Raw genomic sequence first — 18,017 nt, 5'->3', positions numbered from 1 at the left:
TCCTACAATCTCCGGTATTTCTTGGCTTATTGCTGCATCACTCCAGTCTGTGTCCACCTTTGTGCTATCTTCTCCTCCGTGTCTAAGTATTATAATTTTTTGTGTCTTATAATAATGACATTTGTCATTGGATTTAGGGCCCACCCTAATCGAATATAATCTCATTTTGGTCCTTATCTTAATTATATCTGTAAAGACCCTATTTCCACATAAGGTTACATTCTGAGGTTCTGGGTGAACATGAATTTTGGGAGCACACTGTTAAACATACTTCAGAGCTCCAGGCACAGAATGAGTTCACAGAGCCACAAAAGAGCCCAACACAGCAGGTATCACTGGCAAGGGAAGATCAGAACTACAAGGTTACAATGACAACAGTGAGTGTTTGACATCCTGGTCTGCTTCCAACCTTGAGAAAGGATCAGTGTGTCAGTTGGATATCCAGATTTCCTCAGAGTCCCTGTTGTCTGGGAAAGGGGATTCCTTCTGCTCTCTGGACAGCCAGATTGGTATTACCCAACTCAACTGTTTCCTGCCAATCCTGACTTCTCATAATTGACTTCTCTTATGTTGTGTTCACAGAGCTGGCCTTTCAATTACAATCAAACCCACCACTAATTCCCCTCTGCCTCCCTAAGCTCAAGTACCAATGTGCTCCTTCCAGTTGATCTCATTCAGTAATAGTTATTTATTGAATGCCTACTGTGTATTAGACAATTTTCTAGATGTTGGGAATACAATAATAAATAAGTCAGATCCCATAGAGCTTACACTCTAGAAAGGAAATGGATAATATATAATGAAACAAACAGGAGGTTGCATATTGGGATAGTTGCTATCAGGGCACTCATCATATTGGAGGTGCCATGAATCATACATGGTGGTTCTCAGTGCAATACAGGAACTAAAAGGGTGTTATCAGTTGGAAATGCTTTCAGCTGTTTTGACCAGAATACTCAAAAAACAGTGGCTTAAAAATAAGGACATTTAATAATCTTAAATAATAAGTCTAGAGTTTGGCAATTTAGGGTGGAAACAGCAGTTCAGCCACATTGTTAAAGATCCAGTCTCTTTGTATGTGTCCTTTCTGCCTTAACTTTGGTTTTTCTTCTGTTGGTTGAAGCTGTCTGTTATAGCTTCAGGCATCACATCCATGTTCATGAGGGGAGAAAAGAGAAGAAACTGTCAGCTGTATCTATCTATTCCATCAAGAACACCCAAAGTTTTTCCAAAACTGCATCCTGTTTGCATCAAAGTGGCTAGAACTGGAGCCTGTGGTCACCCATTAGAAGGCTCAGAAACTGAGGAATGGGGTGGCTGTGTTTGGCTTAAACCAACTGCAATCCAAGGATGTGTCCACTGCTGTTCCAAGACTGAGGTTCTGTTAGTGAGGAAGATGGGGAAATGGATAATGGGTCGATGGAGAACTTTGCCACTTAGGGTATGAGTTGAAGAATAACTGTTGGTGGGAAGTGGTGGTGATTGATGAGCATGGTCAGATCACAAAGGATGGTAAGACTGGAAATAAGAATGAGTTAGATTCAGTTTAAGAAGACTCTTACTGGACCAACAATGAGTTCAGCCAAGAATATCAAGAATACAAGTGAGTGGATGGGCTCCCCATCATCATCTGCCTTTGTCACTGAGACCTGGTCAATGCAGTCTGCCTGGACTGAGATATCTGCCGGGCCAGAGGATCCCAGAGCTGTGAGCTCTTTGCTGTTGATATCAGTAGCTGGTGGAAAGGCCATATTAGTGCTTGGTCATTTACCTACAAAAAGCAGTTTTGCTGTGGTACAGCGTGGTTTGTTTTGGCAATCCACATATTGAAATTTACTAACAGTAGAGAAAATAAGTGCCCATAAGCAGAGCCTATGAAGATGCACAGATACAAAGCATGTATACAAAGAACATTACTTCTACGAATATATCCTGGAAGCTGAGGGTGGAGATGAGGCAGACAAAATTGAAAAAAGGTTTTATACATAGAGATGCTCATCCAAGTGTTTAGCACAGACAAAAGGCCTGAAAGTACAGCTCCCGTTGACTATCTGACTTTGATTCCCTCTTTATTCCCAGAATTACTTTCTTTCAAAGTTAACCTTGAATTTAAGTATTTGTTATATTTTATTGAGCATTTAACATGATTTTGAGAGAGGATTCTTTTTTAAAAAATTAGTTCAGTGTGCTCTCTCATTAGAAGCCCCCAGAAGATATTTTGACACAGGGAAAGGGAGAATATTAAGGTAAGGGAGAAAGTGCATTAGTGGGTGCCCTAGCTCAACAGAAAAGCCTCTAGAAAGATACAGAGCATTGAGTGGACAGATTGTATTATGGATTGCTATTCACTTGTCTAGCCCCTTCTCTTCTTTCCTTTTCTGTAGGGATTGAGAGGGTCCAATTCACTTCCATTTTATTTATTTTTATTTAATTTATTATTTTTTTAAGAGATGAGGTCTTGCTATGTTGCCCAGGCTGGTCTGGAGTCCTGGCCTCTAGTTACCCTCCTGCCTCAGCATCCCCACCTCCCAGTAGCTGGGACAGGTGCGAGGCACCCTGCCTGGCCACTTACATTTTTAAAGGCTTTCAGTGTATTAAAACACAAATGTCTGAACTTTTTGTAGTACATTTTAGAGGTGTACATTGAAAAAATTAATGCTGTAAAGCATGAAGACACAAGATAGTTTTTCTGTTCAGAGCTTAATTATAATTCATAGCATGTTAGAGGTGGTGCGTTCTGGTGATTGCATATAAGTGTAAGTCTGGGTGATAAGTTTCTTCTTTTAATCATTCAGTGTACCTCTGGGACTGATGTATAACTTCATTTGGAGTTAACTTCACCAGTCTAAATTTTAATCCTTTTGTGAGTGTGAGAACTAGTCCAAAGAGCTCTTCTCGTTCTCTGCTCCTTGTCAAAGGTGAAGATTAAGAGTTTGAACCCAGAAGAGGTGTCCGAACATGTTTATTGAATGAATGAATGAATACATTGTGTGGTGCAGATCAACAAAAGAAAGCACTCACAGGAGGTGGAAGTCAGGGAGTGCTATGATGTGTTTTCATTTTACTGCTGGCTTATACATTTTGAGGGGCAACCGTTTCCTAGGTTTTCACGATGTTTTTGATCTGATGAGGCTGTGAAAGAATCTCCCAAGTCTGCTTCTCCCCAGCAGTGCAGAGCCTGCCAAGGTGTTACTACACAGCAAGCCCCTTTGGATTAAATGAGTCCCATCTGATTCAGGGATGAGTGCCAAATGCTTGTTGATAGCAGATCACAGGGGGAGGGCACAATTCCAGCTCAGTGGCAGCAGCTGAGGAGATGTCCTGCCACGGGTGGTGGTGACAAAGGAGCAGATGGCATGGAATGAAACGAGAACAAGATGTGTACCCAGTGCGGTGTAAATTAGTTACAATTTCCGCATAAAGCTCCATCAGGTTACTATGTACAGTGTTCTGTGTGCGTAGCCAGCAGTGTTCAGGCTATGTTCATATTCTTATGGTTTAATATCCAATATTAAGGCTCTCTGGAAAGTGGAAGCTTAGATTTACCTATTCCAAGCTGCAATTAACAGTTTTGCAGAGTTCAATACTATTTTTTGGGGAAGGAAATTTATTATTGAGGAATTGGGGCCTGGATGGAACAGCACTAGGAGGCTCTCTTGGGTCTCATTATATTGTGCTGTTTGTTGTGGAGAGCTCAGTTACATATTCAAACCTGAGTGCCTCTTTTTTTTTTTTTTTTCTCCCAGACAGCTTTCTCAACCACACACTGGTGCAGAAGAGAAGAATCCCCTTTATGCAAAGCAGAATTGAGCAATTAAATATATTGATGAAGAATGCAGGTGTCAGTATGCGTCCCTTGGTGTCCTAGAGAGACAGTCCTGTCAAGTGTAGATGGTTACTATTTGGAATAATTCATCAGTTAGTCAGTGTTACTTAACAAAATACTGGGGTCTATTTCTATGAAACAAGCTCTACACATCTGTCTACTTATTCTTGAAATGGGAATTGACTGTAACAGGGAAAATGTATGTAAAGTCTGACCACATAAAACAACCCTATTTTCTGCAGTTATTTCCCCAGGGAGGGGGAATGTGCTGTGATTCCTTCCTTGTCGGTAGATAAATTGAAAAATATTCCACCTCTCTTTCATTCAGCTCTATTAATTATGACTGATAGCCCCTGGCTTCATTACAGTTGTATTAACATGATGCCTTCTACATGGCTTCTGCACAGGATGGAATATGCTTCCCTGTTTTCTCTCATCTTGACATACCCTGTCCTGGAGAATTTGTAAAATCATATAAGGAGTTATAGAAGAGCATCAGCTCGGGGCCTAATAAGGCGATTTCTCTCACAGATGTGAGTAATCAGGAATGCCTCACTAACTGTGGAGTGCAGGGTTAAAAGTGCTATGATGGTCTTATTAGAAGTGATGAGGCATGGGCAGGGGGATTTGCCCAGGAATGAGTCTACTGGCAGCTTCTTATAATTCTCATCTCTGATTAAAATCCTTAATTGATTCAAGAGCTCGGGTGCTAAAAACCCTCATTCATTTTTTATCCTGATGAGAGAAACATGTTCTCTAGAGCTGTGCACATGTGGAGAAAGGAGTGGGGAGTCATTGCCAGTTGACGGCAGGTTCTGTGAGGTGGTGAAGAACGGCAGGCCAGGAATGACAACTACCTGGGTCAGTCCTTGTTTCACCATTGTGGCAGGAACATGCCTTTACCTTAGTTTCTACTTCTGTAATGTGGGGATAGTAGTGTCTATCTCAAAGGGCTGTTGGGGCATCAGATGAGGGCCAGGAACGTTGCGGGAGCTTATTAAGCCTTTCTTTTAAAAAAGTCTCTTCTTGATACTGCTTACCTCCTTGAAAATTCTAAATATATAATTTTAATCCAATTTAATGCCTTAATATACTACAAGTCTAGGCCAAACACAGGAGATTACTTAAAATTCCCCTTTATAATTTGGCAGATTACCAAAATCAAGTTTTACCTCAAAAGGGGGTTGGCCCCAAACTCATTCAGAAATTCTTCTTGTTCCATCCATCCTGTCTGTATTCTTCCCTGCTCTTCCTACCCTTTACCATTTCATCTGGTCAAGAGAACACTTAGCAAGGGTCCTGAGGAAGAGAATCAGTAGGGAATAGGGTGGAGAGGCAGAAACCATTCTGTTGGAGAGCTGTGTTATTCTCCTTGGGTTCTGTAACGGTTAAGTTTATGTGTTGACTTGGCAGGGCCATGGAGTGCTCAGATATTTGGTCAAAAATTATTCTGAGTGTGTTGTGAGGCTGTTTCTGGATGAGATTAGCATTTGAATCAGTAGGTTCAGCAAAGCAGATTGCCTTCCCAATGTGGATGGGCCTCATCCAATCCATGGAAGACCTGGATAGAACAAAAAGGCTGAGTAAGACAGAATTCTTTCTCTATGCCTGACTCTCTTCAAGCTGGAACATTGCTCTTTTCCTGCTTTCGGATTCAGACTCAGATGAAGACTTACATTACTGGTTTTCCTAGTTGTCAGGCCTTCTAACTTGGGCTAGAAATACCATTGACTCTCTTGGGTCTTCAGCTTGTCAGCTGCAGATCTTGGGACTTCTCAGCCTGCATAATCATGTGAGTCAGTTTGTTATAATCGTTCTATATATATGGTTATATATAGATAGATTTAGATACCTATCTATATCTATAGACATATTTGGATTATATATGATGTGTATGTCTATGTCTATAGACATGTCTGTATTGGTCTGGATTTTTTAGAGAAACAGAACTGAAAGATATATCTGTATCTAGATCTATCTATACATCTACACCCTATTGGTTCTGTTTTTCTGGAGAATCCAGGCTAATACAGATTTTGATACAAAGAAGTGGGGTGCTGGTATAACAAATACCTAAACATGTGGAAGCGGCTTTGGAACTGGTTAATAGGTAGAGGCTGGAAGAGTTTTGAGTTGTATGCTAGAAAAATAGATGTTAAAAGTGATTCTGACTAGGGCGTACATGGAAATTAGGAACATGATATTGAAAACTGGAGGAAAGGTGATCCTTTTTATAAAGTGGCAAATAATTTGGCTGAACTGCGTTCTAGTGTTTGGTGGAAGGTAGAATTTGTGAGCAAAATGTGGGCTAAACAGATTTCTAAGCAAAGTGTTGAAGAAGTGGTTTGGTTCCTTCTAAATGCATATAGAAAAATACTAAAGGAGAGAGATGAAATGAAGAAGAAATTCTTAATCAAAAAGGAAGCAGAATTTAAAGATTTGGAACATTCTCAGCTTATCCACATTACAAAAAATGGAAAAGCTTGTTTTGAAGAGAACATTAAAGATGTGGCTGAACAATCATTTGATAAAGACATCATGGGTATGACTTATTGACTTAGCCATTTTAACAGAATCCAGGAATAGAGATGAGATTATACCAACAAAGACCCTGCCAGTATGAACTAAAGAGAACAGAAAAAAATGAGACTAAATTAGGGAAGGCAGTTGTACTTCTTTGATTTAACAAGACCAGACCATAGAGCCATTTAGCTGTGAACATGCACTACTCTTCAAGAAAACATGCACTGTTCTTCAAGAAGGCAATTCAGAGATTATCAGTGGTGCCACTTGGTTTGAACAGGCTAGATGGCCTCTGACCAATGCTGTGGGAATGGGACCACTCTGCAAAATCCTGTGAGTGGGGCCACATGGAACTTTGAGGGTGCAACCCTGCACCTAACAGAACTTCAGAAGTGGGATTGTCACCCCAGTGGTCCATGAGGCAGAGCCTGAAACCAAAGAGGATTAATCTGGAGCCTTAAGATCTACTGGAATTTGCCTTGCTAAGTTTCAGACTTTCTTAGGACCCATTACTCCTTTCTTCTTTCTTATTTCTCCCTTTTGGATTGGGAATGTTCATCCTATGCCTGTCCCATCATCATAGTTTGGAAGCATGTAACTTGTCTGCTTTCAAAGGTTTGCACAAGGGGAGGAATTTTGTCTCAGAATGAATCATAGCAACATATGTGTCTCACCCATATTTGATTTTGCTGATATGAGTATTTGGACTTTAATCTTTAGAGTTCATGCTAGAATGACTTAAGATTTTGGGGGCTGTTGGGATGGAAGGAATGTATTTTACATGTGAGAAGGACATAAATTTAAGGGGGCCAGAGTGAATGAGTGAATTGTGTCCTCCCCAAAATTCATATGTTGAAGCACTAACCCCCACGTGATGGTGTTTAGCAATGGGGCCTTTGGGATGACATTAAGTTTAGATGAGGTCATAAGGTGGGGGCCTCATGATGGGGTTGGTGGATTTATAAGAAGAAGAAGAGAGAGATTGCTGTCTCTCTGCCATGTGAGGACAGTGAGATGGAGGCCATCTGCAAACCAGTAAGAGTGCCTTGTGATGCGTGCCTGTAGTCCCATCTACTCGAGAGGCTGTGATGGGAGAATTGCTTGAACCCGGGAGGCGGAGGTTGCAGTGAGCAGAGATTGCGCCACTGCACTCCAGCCTGGGCGACAGAGGGAGACTCCATCTCAAAAAAGAAAAAAAAAAATAGAGTGCCTTCATCAGAACCCAACCATGCTGGCATCCTGGTTCTAGACTTCCAGCCTGTGTGAAATAGATTTCTGTTGTTTAAGCCACCCAATGTATGGTATTTTGTAATGGAAGTCTGCTTTGACTATAATACAGGTCTGCTGTTTTTTTCCTCTAGGAGGCCATCTCTTTACTGTGATGTTTGGCCATGGTGTTTGTGTGTATGTGTATATAGACAATGCTAATTGCTGTGAAGTCCACTAATTTCAAGCAATTCTCAGCAAATGAGTGCATTAGACATGCATTGACCATCACATTGGGCCTGTCATATTTATTACATCAGCCACTGTTTAAGAGCATCTAATTCCCTCAATTACTATGGGCTGAGAATCTCCTTGTCAGGTAGTTTGGAATTATGGAATAAAAGCAAAATATCTTATGGAACTGTAATTTCAGAAACAGAGGAATGGGCTAGAAGCTATGAGAAAAGGAACAACTAAAAGATACTGACCATGGAAAGGAGTGGAACTCTGTTTCTCCCCTCTTTCTCCTTCTCTATCACTGTCACCATGAAAGAAAAGTGTATATGAGCTCCCTTTCTCAAGTTTTCTCCCTTTTCTCAAGTTCTCTTTTTTCTTTTTTTCCTCTATATAGCTCCTTGCTCTGGAGTCCAGCAGTCTGGCTGCTTCTTTGCAGCTGTAGTTTCTTCATGGCTCTGCATGGTCTCTGATGGTCTATTCATGGGCCTTGTTATGGGTTGAGGTGGATACCCCCAGAATTTATATGTTGTAGCTCTAACCTTCAGTAACTCAGAATGTGACCTTATTCAGAAATAGGGTCATTTCAGATGTAATTAGTTAAGTTAGGATGAGGTCATACTGGGGGAGGGTGGGCCCCTGACTTGATGTGACCAAGACTTAAGACCATACAATGAGAAAAATGATAGGACCTACCTCCTAGAGCATTTGGGAAGATGCAAAGAGTTTGGTATTTATTTATGCCAATTATTATTCTGTAGTGCTGGACCATTCAAAACCATGTTGCTCCACCTCTGGACAAGACTTGGTTAATTTCCCTGGCAGAGGATTTCAACATACACAGGTTTAGAAAAGTAAAACCCCATCTTATACATCACCTGGCCAGATCATCCAAATAGTAATTGTGGAGTATTAGTCCGCTTTCACACTGCTGATAAAGGCATACCCAAGACTACACAATTTACAAAAAAAGAGGATTAATGGACTTACGCTCCATATGGCTGGGGAGGCCTCACAATCATGGCAGAAGGTAAGGAGAAGCAAGTCACATCTTACGTGGATGGTGACAGGCAAAGAGAGAGAGCTTGTGCAGGGGAACTCCTCTTTATAAAACCATCAGATCTCATAAGACTTATTCACCATCACAAGAACAGCACAGAAAAGACCTGCTCCGATGATTCAATTATCTCCCACTGAGTCCCTCCCACAACACATGGGAATTCAAGATGAGATGTGTGTGGGGACACAACCAACCCATATCATGTGATATGCTAATAGATCCTTATTGTGAGCTCACAGTTATTAAATGAACAAATCCATAGATTAAGAACAGAAGTGTTAATGAATTTTTAAAGTCTGCTAATTTGTTCAACATTTAGGGCCATTAACAAGTGCATGGATTTTCTTGAGAACATATGATTACCTTGTCTTCCAATTACAGACAGCTGACACCATAGCATGTTGTTTACAAAAGCAAGATTGTAGAAGAGATTATAGGTGCTGGGATTGACTGGTGATAACTTATTTAGGGGCTCCTAATAGGACTTAAAATACCCACCTGTTATTTTGTATGTGCATTATAATATGCTGGAGTATATTCAAAGAAGCTTTAAATTGATAACTGTTTTTCTGAAAGATGCAGCAATTGCAACTTATTTTCTTCCTTCTTAGCAGGATTCTGATATCCAGGTCTGCAGATGCTGCAGGATTTTGCTTAATACATTTAAGAGGTATTGATTCTTCTGGGCATAGTTGGAGATGAAGGAGCAGTTTCTGGAAGAACTCGCTTTGGAAGAGAAACAGGTCTTTGTGGCAGCAAAGGGAACATTGTTAGAGAGGACAGTAGGTATGCATGCACATATATGTGTGCGTGCATGTATTGGGTGTGTGTGTGTGTTGGTTTAAGTTTCCACATTAGGAAAATGACAGTAAAGTTACACAGTGGGGATAGGCAACCTTTTAAGAATGGTAACTATGCTCCAGCCTCAGGACTGAGCCTTTTCCAGAGCCAGCAAAGCCTGTCCTTGGGCTTAGTCACTCTTTTTTACATTCTTTATGCCTGTATTCTGTGAGGATACTTTATTTCCCTTTCTTCTCTCTCCCTCCAACCTTTTCTTCTATACCCCAACTGTGTTGTAAAGCCAAAGGACTTTAGGTTTTGCTTTCTCTCCTCTCCAAAACTTGCCCACTCTTAGTGTGAATTTTGAGCCAGCCAATGTGCTTCCACTCCCAGGAGTAATTGTTGTTGAAACGTTGTCTCTGATGGTCTACTCAGGGCTCCTGTTATGGGTTGAATTGTGTCATCTCAAAATGTATGTTGTAGTCCTAACCTGTAACAACTCAGAATGTGACCTTATTTGGAAATAAGGTCATTGCAGATATAATTAGTCAGTTAGAATAAGGTCATACTGGGGTAGGGTGGATGCCTAATCCAACATGACTTTAGCTTTTATAAAAGGGGAAAATTTTATAAGAAGAAGAACAGCACTATGTCAGTATCAAGGTAGAGATCAGTGTGATGCATGTAAAATCCAAGGAATGGCAAAGATTGTAGGCAGACCACCAGAAGCTAGGAGAGAGGCATGGAACAGACTCTCCCTCACAATCCTTAGACAGAACCAGTCCTGCCGACACTTTGATCTTGGACTTTTAGCCTCTACAACTGTGAGACAATTAAGCTCTGCTGTTCTAAGCTTCCCAGTTTGTGGTGCTTTACTATGGCAGCCCTAGTAAACTAATACAGGTGCTATTTTCTGTTAGAGCCAAGCCATCTCAGGCAGCAGTGAGGTGATGGGAGAGATATCCAGAGAGGAGGGGCAGAGTCCCCATTTGAGAGCAGACCAGGTGGGCTTAGCATATACTTAGATGCAATTTAGAGGCAGGATCCAGCCTGGAGTTTGCTATAGCTCAGCTCCAGCTTGGCTAACACCATTTCACACTTTTCTTTAAACCAGCTGGAGATTCTTCACCTGTCTTTGCCTGTCCTTGAGTGACAGGATGACCAAGGGCCAGAGGATCATCAAATACTCATTGCTTTTAGCACTATGCAATGTTATTTCCTGCATGACCTCTTGAAAGGGCACAGATGGGAGGCTGTCTTGTTGATTCCTGGTCTGCAACAGGCAATTTATATTCATAACGTGCTTTAAAAAAGCACATACTGTGTGGATCCCAGTGCAAAATAAAAATGTGGGGCTGGATGGGATGGCAAAGTCAATCTCCCCTTCCTACATGCTGGCTGTCCATTCTAACCCCTGCCTGGATGCGCTTGGTACCTAGACTGAGGTGGATGATACATCCCTCCCCACTGGTCACCCACCAAACATGTAGTGGTGCTGTCAGCCTGGTGCAGGATGGATGCTGTCTTGTCCTGTCCCAAGATGCCATGGGGTGAGTGTCTAACCCTGATCCTCTCTCTCCTTGGGGTAAAGAATGACAGTAGAATGCAGTCCTCTTCCTGTCAATGCAACTTGGTCTCCACCCCAGGTGGACAGTGGTAGTGGTTGTGGGATGGGGTCAGGAATGAGGAGGTCAGCCTGGGCCAGGACACCAGGGGTTGGGGAGTGGACTGCTGAGATCCCGTCCGAAAAGGCAAGCAGATAGGGAGGTGGTGGGACATAGGAGCGTATGTGAGTCAAAGCTCCAAGCCTGAAGCTCCATGGCCTCATCAGACTTCATTTACTAACCACAAATTCAAAGACAAAATTATTAAGGACTTCAAGATGGCAACTGCAGAGCATTGAACTTCAACAGCCTGGCCCTTCTGAGGGTGGGGCCCTGTGTGGCTGCACAGGTCACTGGTCCATGAAACTGGTCCTGTTATAGAGGCAACAGTGTAGAACTACTTAGAAACAAAAATAAATATTATGATGCCATGTGTATCATCATGAGTGCCATAGCTTGAGAATAAATTTTGTGGCCAGAAAGAACAACAAGGAAATTCATGGGTGACCTCTGTCCTTGAAGGTTTGTTTCAAGCCTAGATTCGTAGAAGGCTTTGTCTTGGAGGACTAGGAAGATCATGTGATACAATTCTCTCCTTGAACAGGTGAAAAGATGAAAACTTGCAAACAGGTTCAAGATCACACAGCTAATTATGGTTAGGTCTAGGGTAAGAAACAATGTTATTTTGCTCTTAAATTGTTGTAAGAAGGGCCTGGGAAAACAAGAATGATGAATATGTTTATTATCTTGATTATAGAGCTTGTTCATGGTGTTTATATTTATTAAAACTTATCAAATTGTATAATTAAAATATTTGCAGTTTGTTCTTTGCCAATTATACCTCAATGGAGCTGCTTAAAAATATTGAAGGCAAGAATCAAATAAACAACTTGATTTAAGAATAAGGTAAATAGCAGCTGAAGTTTTTCTGGAATATAGGGAAACAGGAGTGAGCAGTTTTTTGCACAAGCAAACTGCCATTAGTAGCATGCATTAGGGTTTACAACGTGCTTTTGTTTATACTATCTCTTAAGGTTCTTCAGGGTGGAACTTTAATGTTAGGAAATGTCATGGAAATGCAGAGTCACCGAAGACCTCCTGAGCAAAGTAGGAAGCTTGGGAATCCTGGAATCTTGAAGACAGAAGAACCCTTAGGGATTACTCAACTCCTGGAGGAATTCTTAAAATTAACCTCCTTTCTGAAGAGAAGATTGGGGATGCAAAAGATTAACCTTCATTTGACTTCTTTTGATGGGAGGAGTGTTTCTGCCACTTTTATCTGCAGGAAGAGGGCTCTCCACCAGCCTGTAGGCTTGGCCTGCCTCCCGTCCACCCTGCGGAGGCGTGCTTGCTACAGAGCAGGAGGCTGGGCAAGTTCTTTTTCTGACTTTTAACAGGCAGTTATGCTTCAGAATAATTTGGTCTATTATCTTTCTTCACAGAATACATGACAAAAATGAGTCAGCAGGGAGGCAGGTTAGAGCAGTCTAAAGAAAAACAATAGGTGCTCTGAAGATGAAAAAGAAAAAGTTTAGATTTCCAGCGTTAGGATGAAGTTCAAGACTCTTATGCTTCCTCATGGACTGTGAGCCGTGGGACAGGCTAGGGAGATCCCTGGGCTCTTTGCCCCTCAGTCGGTTTTCTCACCGGGAGGCAGCAAGGCCTCTTCTCTTTGAATTTCTCTCATTCATGCTGGGAGTATTTTCTTTGCTTGAACTGGGATGGGCAGCTCACCAGGAGGTGAGCACTTCAGGAAGAGGAAGGCACTTGCAGTTCTTCAGAGAGAGCTTGTGGCAGTTCGCACCGAAGACTGGACTGCGTTCCTCCTCCACGTGCTGAGTTTGCATTTAAAGGAGGGAGGGAGCTCTCTTAATTTGTGATTATTTTTCCTGGTTGCCTTGAAACTGAGCTGAGTGTTCCCCAGTGTCGTCATTTTTGTTTCACTGGGTGAACTGCTTTTAGAGAGCCCTGCTCTGAGATGGGGGATGTGTGAGCCCAGAGTCTTCTCTGTGGGACTCAGTTCCTGCTACTTCCCCTTCAGACCCACCTTGGCTGGCAGGTGGACCACTAGGAAAACACCCCTTGCTCTTGCTGGGAAGGGTCGAGTCGGGTGGGGAGAAGCCAACCCCAGGAGGATGGAGAGCAGTGAGGGCTGTCATTGCTGCTCAGTGTCTGGGTGACCTGGGTACTTTCTGAGGATCCAGGAAGGCCCATGGAGGAAGCAGGCCATGCAGAATCTGTCCGAATGTTTTACGGCTCCTGTGGTGATGTCAGGCTTTTATATCTTGGATTTTTTTTTTCTTGAAAACACCATGTGCATAAAAGAGAAAGTCACACACACACACACACACACACACACACACACACACACACACACACCAACTTTGGCTGTAAATGGAAAGGACCTACTTCTTTTTCTGTGCTGCTTTTATTTTCATGGTTAATTATTTATTCATAAATCTTGCCTGAGAGATTTTATTTTGGCTCCCAAGCGATAAAAGCTCAAGGTCACAGGGGAAGTGTTTTCAAATGCTAAGTGATCCTCCTCCAACCTAATGTTGTAAAATTTTTATTTCAGGAGTAGTGTTGCTCACAGGAGGGGTGATGACTTAATTTTAGCTCCCAGATGAAATATTGACTTTGCTGCTGATGAGGGGATGGAAGACAGCACAGATCAGCGTAATGAGGGCCGTCGCGGAGCTGCCTTCACCCTGACTTGGCAACCCGTTCATTGTGGGATGACCTTTATAAAATGATGATGGTGTTGGGGGAAACGAGGGAAAGTTTCAAGGATGCTAGGCTGCTGCTGATTTCTGCTTCCACTGGAAACAAACGAAAAAATACATTGAGGAAAGATCTGATTTTTCTTGTGCCATTTGAAAGCTATGCATACTTATGTCCAAAAGGAAGTTTGCTTTCACATCCGTTGATAACAATGGCCTTCAAAAATGCGACATTTTTTTCTCATTGTGCCACTGTGAGCTATGGTCACCGAAAAAGGGTGAAAATCATTCATATGAGATAAAGGGTTAATAGCTGAGATTTTAATCCTCTCTAAAAATTAGTTTTAGGTTGTTGACTTCTTAAGGTTTAAATGTTACTATTTTTTTATAGTTACACATGAAATAACATTCAGAAAGCATCCAAAAGCGAGTTCTTTTCCTCCAACGCTGTCTTCCTGTCCTTCAGTCCCCATCTCCAGAGGCAGCCACCTAAGAAATTTGTTGGTATTCTTCCAGAAATAGTCTACATTTAGAACGCTTGCATATATATAAACCTTTAAAAATTAGCTAACAATAGCATATCAGCAATTTTTCTTGAGGTTATTTCATATCAGTACAAGTAGGAGCTCTAATGTTTTATGATGTGAGAAGCCCCAGCCTTCTGTGGCAGAATTGGGTCAGAACTGAGTAGTTCTTAATTTCTCTTCTACTCCCTTTCCTCAACTCCAAGTTATTTTCCTTTGCTCCCAAAATACCCAAAGGCAAGAAAGACATTCTCAGTGTAATTTTTGTATTAGGGTATTAGCCAGGCTGCTATAACAAATAAACTTCAAGATATAATGGCTTAACTGAGATAGAAGTTTCTCTCTTCCTTGTATGACTGTACAGGAGGAGGTGGTCCAGGGCTGCCAGGGTGTCAGTGGAGTCCTCCATGCAGAGCTTCCACCTCAGAGTCCAAGGCAGATGATAATTCTTATTATTTCACCAGCAACAGGGAAATAAAAGAGAAAGGGTCAGGGAAGTACTTACACATTTCTTTTCAGGGGTACAACTCATAGGTGGCACACATCATTTCTTCTTACATTCTGTTGTTCAGAGTTTATGCGCATGGCCACATAGGCTGCCAGCTGAAACTCGGGAGTTCTGTTATCAAAGCAGGGAGGATGGATATTATATGGTCCCAGCTGGGGACAGGATGGTGTCTTGTTCTACATGCTGGCTCCAGGACTAGTGGAAAAGGGAACACTGGAAAAAGCTGAAAGAAAGAATCGTATTTTGATAAGAAACTCTATAAGACTTCAGGTCCAGGTGACATAGTTCAATGCAGACAAGTGGAAAAGGAGCAACTGTCCATCATCTCTTCCTGGAACACATGGGTATCTACCAATGGAGAAAGGAATTTACATTCTAGCAAGGAGAGACAGACAATAAACACAATTCAGTACATTAGGTAGCATGTTTGATAAGTGCTGTGGAGATAAACCATGAGGAAGGACTATAGAGAATTGGGTGGTGGGGATTGTTGTGGTTTAGAAAGAACAGCTTGGGAGGGCCTCTCTGAGAAAGTGATGTTACGGAAAGATCTGAAGGATATGAGAGTGTGAGCTATGCAGACATCTGCAGGAAGTGCATATTTGGACAAAGGGAAGAACAGATGCAAAGGCCTCAGAATGAGAACATGCTCAGTGTGTTTGAGTAAGAGAAGAGCAAGGAGACCAGTATGGCTGGGGCAGAGTGAGGGGAAGATGAGGAAGTGATGATGAGAGGGGAGGGAAGCCTATAGCGTGGGGCCTTGGAGGCCATTGTAAGGATTTTGGCTTTTATGTGGAGAGAGATGAGAAGGCAATGGAGGATTTTGCAAAGAGGAGACATGATCTGACTTACTTTAAACTGTCTTTCTGGTCTATGTTGAAAAGCGCCTCTAGGAAGGCAAAGGATGTTATAATTATTTAGGTGAGGGATGATTTGGTTTAGGAGATGTAGTAAGAAGACTGCATTCAGGATGTATTTTGAAGGTGGAGCCTGCAGTATGATGAAGGATTAGATGTGGAGAGTAAGAGAAAGAGAGGGAACAAGATTGACTCTAGGGTTCCTGGCCTGAATAACTGAGGCAATGGAGCTGCCATTTCCTGAGACGCAGAAGGCACAATGGGGAGTGGATTTGGGAGGACGATTAGAAGAAGCTCAGGTTTTTGACATGTTAGGCTTCAAATGGGTATTAGATATCCAAGCAGTATAATCTGAAACCCTGGGTTTAGCTGTGCCTTTAGTCAGATACATTTCTTGGGTTTTCTAGGTCTATGAGCCAATGTAATTTTTTTTGTACTACGGTTTTTGCTTCAACTGCTGCAGGCAAAAGTCCTGGTTTATTTACCATCTTATCGGCTGATTGACTGCCTCCTTTTCAGGTGTATCCTATGGAAGTTTACTGTGATCACCCATGTCTTTCTTTATTATCTGTCTTAGGTTGTAATCCATGAAAAGGCAAGAGCTAAAACTGTAACCTTCTCTTATAGCTCCTCCTAAGTTTCTCTCTCTCTCTCTCTGTCTCTCTCCCTCTCACTCTCTCTCTCTCTCTCTCCTTCTCTCTCCCCACTCCTGCTCCCTCTCTCTGTGTGTGTGTGGGAGATAGAGTGTGTGTGTGTGCTTTGAGGAAAACCATTAATACATTATTTATGATGATAATTCAATTTAAAAGACATTTATTGAGTGTTGAATAAGACAGTGTCTGCCTTCAGGAGGAAAGAAGACAGATACATTAACAAATAGTTATAATGCAATGTGTCATGGACTGTAATAGGAGTATAGGAATATAGATCTGAGGAAAATTAAACCTGTTGGTTTCAAACCAAGCTATGGCTTACTTTCCCGTCATGGTCTCATTCCCCTGGTGAATTTGATGGATCTGCCAGGTATCTTAACCAGATGTGTGGATGATGCAGCAGTTGTGTTGGGTGTACTGGCTGGACATGACCTCAAGGATTCTACCACAGTACAAGATCCTGTTAAACCATTCATACTTCCCAGTTTGACAGATGTAAACAAACTATGTATAGGAATTCCAAAAAAAATCTTGTACCATAATTATCAGTGAAGTACAATCTCTTTAGTCCAAAGCTGCTGACCTCTTTGAGTCTGTGAGGGCCAAAGTAATTGAAGCATCCCTTCCTCACACCAGTTATTCAGTTGTCTGCTACCATGTATTGTGCACACTGGAAGTGGCATCAAATATGGCAAGATTTGATGGGCTATGATATGGTCACAGATGTGACATTGATGTGTCCACTGAAGCCACGTATGCTGCAACCAGACAAGAAGGATTCAATGATGTGGTGAGAGGAAGAATTCTCTCAGGAAACTTTTTCTTGTTAAAAAAAACTATGAAAATTATTTCATCAAAGCACAGAAGGTGAGATACCTCATTGATAATGATTTTGTGAATGCTTTTAACTCTGGAGTTGATGTCTTGCTAACTCCCACCACCTTGAGTGAGGCAATACTATACTTGGAATTCATCAAAGAAGACAACACAGCAAGAAGTGCCCAGGATGATAGTTTCACACAGGCTGTAAACATGGCAGGATTGCCAACAGTGAGTATTCCTGTTGCACTTTCAAACCAAGGGTTGCCAATAGGACGGTAGCTTACTGAATGTGCATTTTGTGACCAGAAGCTTCTTACAGTAGCCAAATGATTTGAAAAACAAGTACAGTTTTCTGTTATTCAACTTCAAGAACTCATGGATGATTGTTCATCAATCCTTGAAAATGAAAAGCTAGCCTCTGTCTCTTTAAAACAGTGGAGAGAAATATATCATGCAAATTAAAATGACTTTTAGAGATTCTAAAAAAAAAAGAAATTATTGCTTGCATTTTTAACTTGGTGATGGTTATCCTCTTAGACATGGAACCATAAAGATGTAAAATTTACAGAAGGATTAACTTAGTCTGCAAAGCATAGCGGTTAATTCACAGCTAAGATAATAGAGAAATTTGTCAAGGATAGAATATGATAAAACCTGTAAGAAGCAAAGTCAAACTGTCTATTGACCTTGGGCTTTA

General features: G+C 41.6%; 1 pseudogene, besides 3 other annotated features; it reads left to right on the top strand.

Annotated features, from left to right (window-relative positions):
- Positions 1,594-1,794: a silencer, noted in NCBI's record as "peak714 fragment used in MPRA reporter construct". NCBI's record gives its function as "represses an SCP1 promoter by STARR-seq MPRAs in K562 erythroleukemia cells {active_cell/tissue: K562}" and the evidence as "EXISTENCE:reporter gene assay evidence [ECO:0000049][PMID:32103011]".
- Positions 12,667-13,209: an enhancer, noted in NCBI's record as "NANOG hESC enhancer chr1:222439721-222440263 (GRCh37/hg19 assembly coordinates)". NCBI's record gives its function as "activates a minimal SCP1, AML or CMV promoter by ChIP-STARR-seq in naive H9 embryonic stem cells {active_cell/tissue: H9 hESC(naive)}" and the evidence as "EXISTENCE:reporter gene assay evidence [ECO:0000049][PMID:30033119]".
- Positions 14,356-15,555: an enhancer, noted in NCBI's record as "CDK7 strongly-dependent group 2 enhancer chr1:222437375-222438574 (GRCh37/hg19 assembly coordinates)". NCBI's record gives its function as "activates an origin of replication core promoter dependent on BRD2, BRD4, P300/CBP, MED14 and CDK7 cofactors, with strong dependence on CDK7, by STARR-seq in HCT116 cells {active_cell/tissue: HCT116}" and the evidence as "EXISTENCE:reporter gene assay evidence [ECO:0000049][PMID:35650434]".
- QRSL1P2 (QRSL1 pseudogene 2) lies at positions 16,792-17,794 on the top strand (annotated as a pseudogene).

This window comes from Homo sapiens, chromosome 1 (genome assembly GCF_000001405.40).
Source record: "Homo sapiens chromosome 1, GRCh38.p14 Primary Assembly".
NCBI lineage: Eukaryota > Metazoa > Chordata > Mammalia > Primates > Hominidae > Homo > Homo sapiens.
The sequence above is the reverse complement of the archived record's forward strand: the minus strand, read 5'-3'. Positions and strand labels throughout refer to the sequence as shown.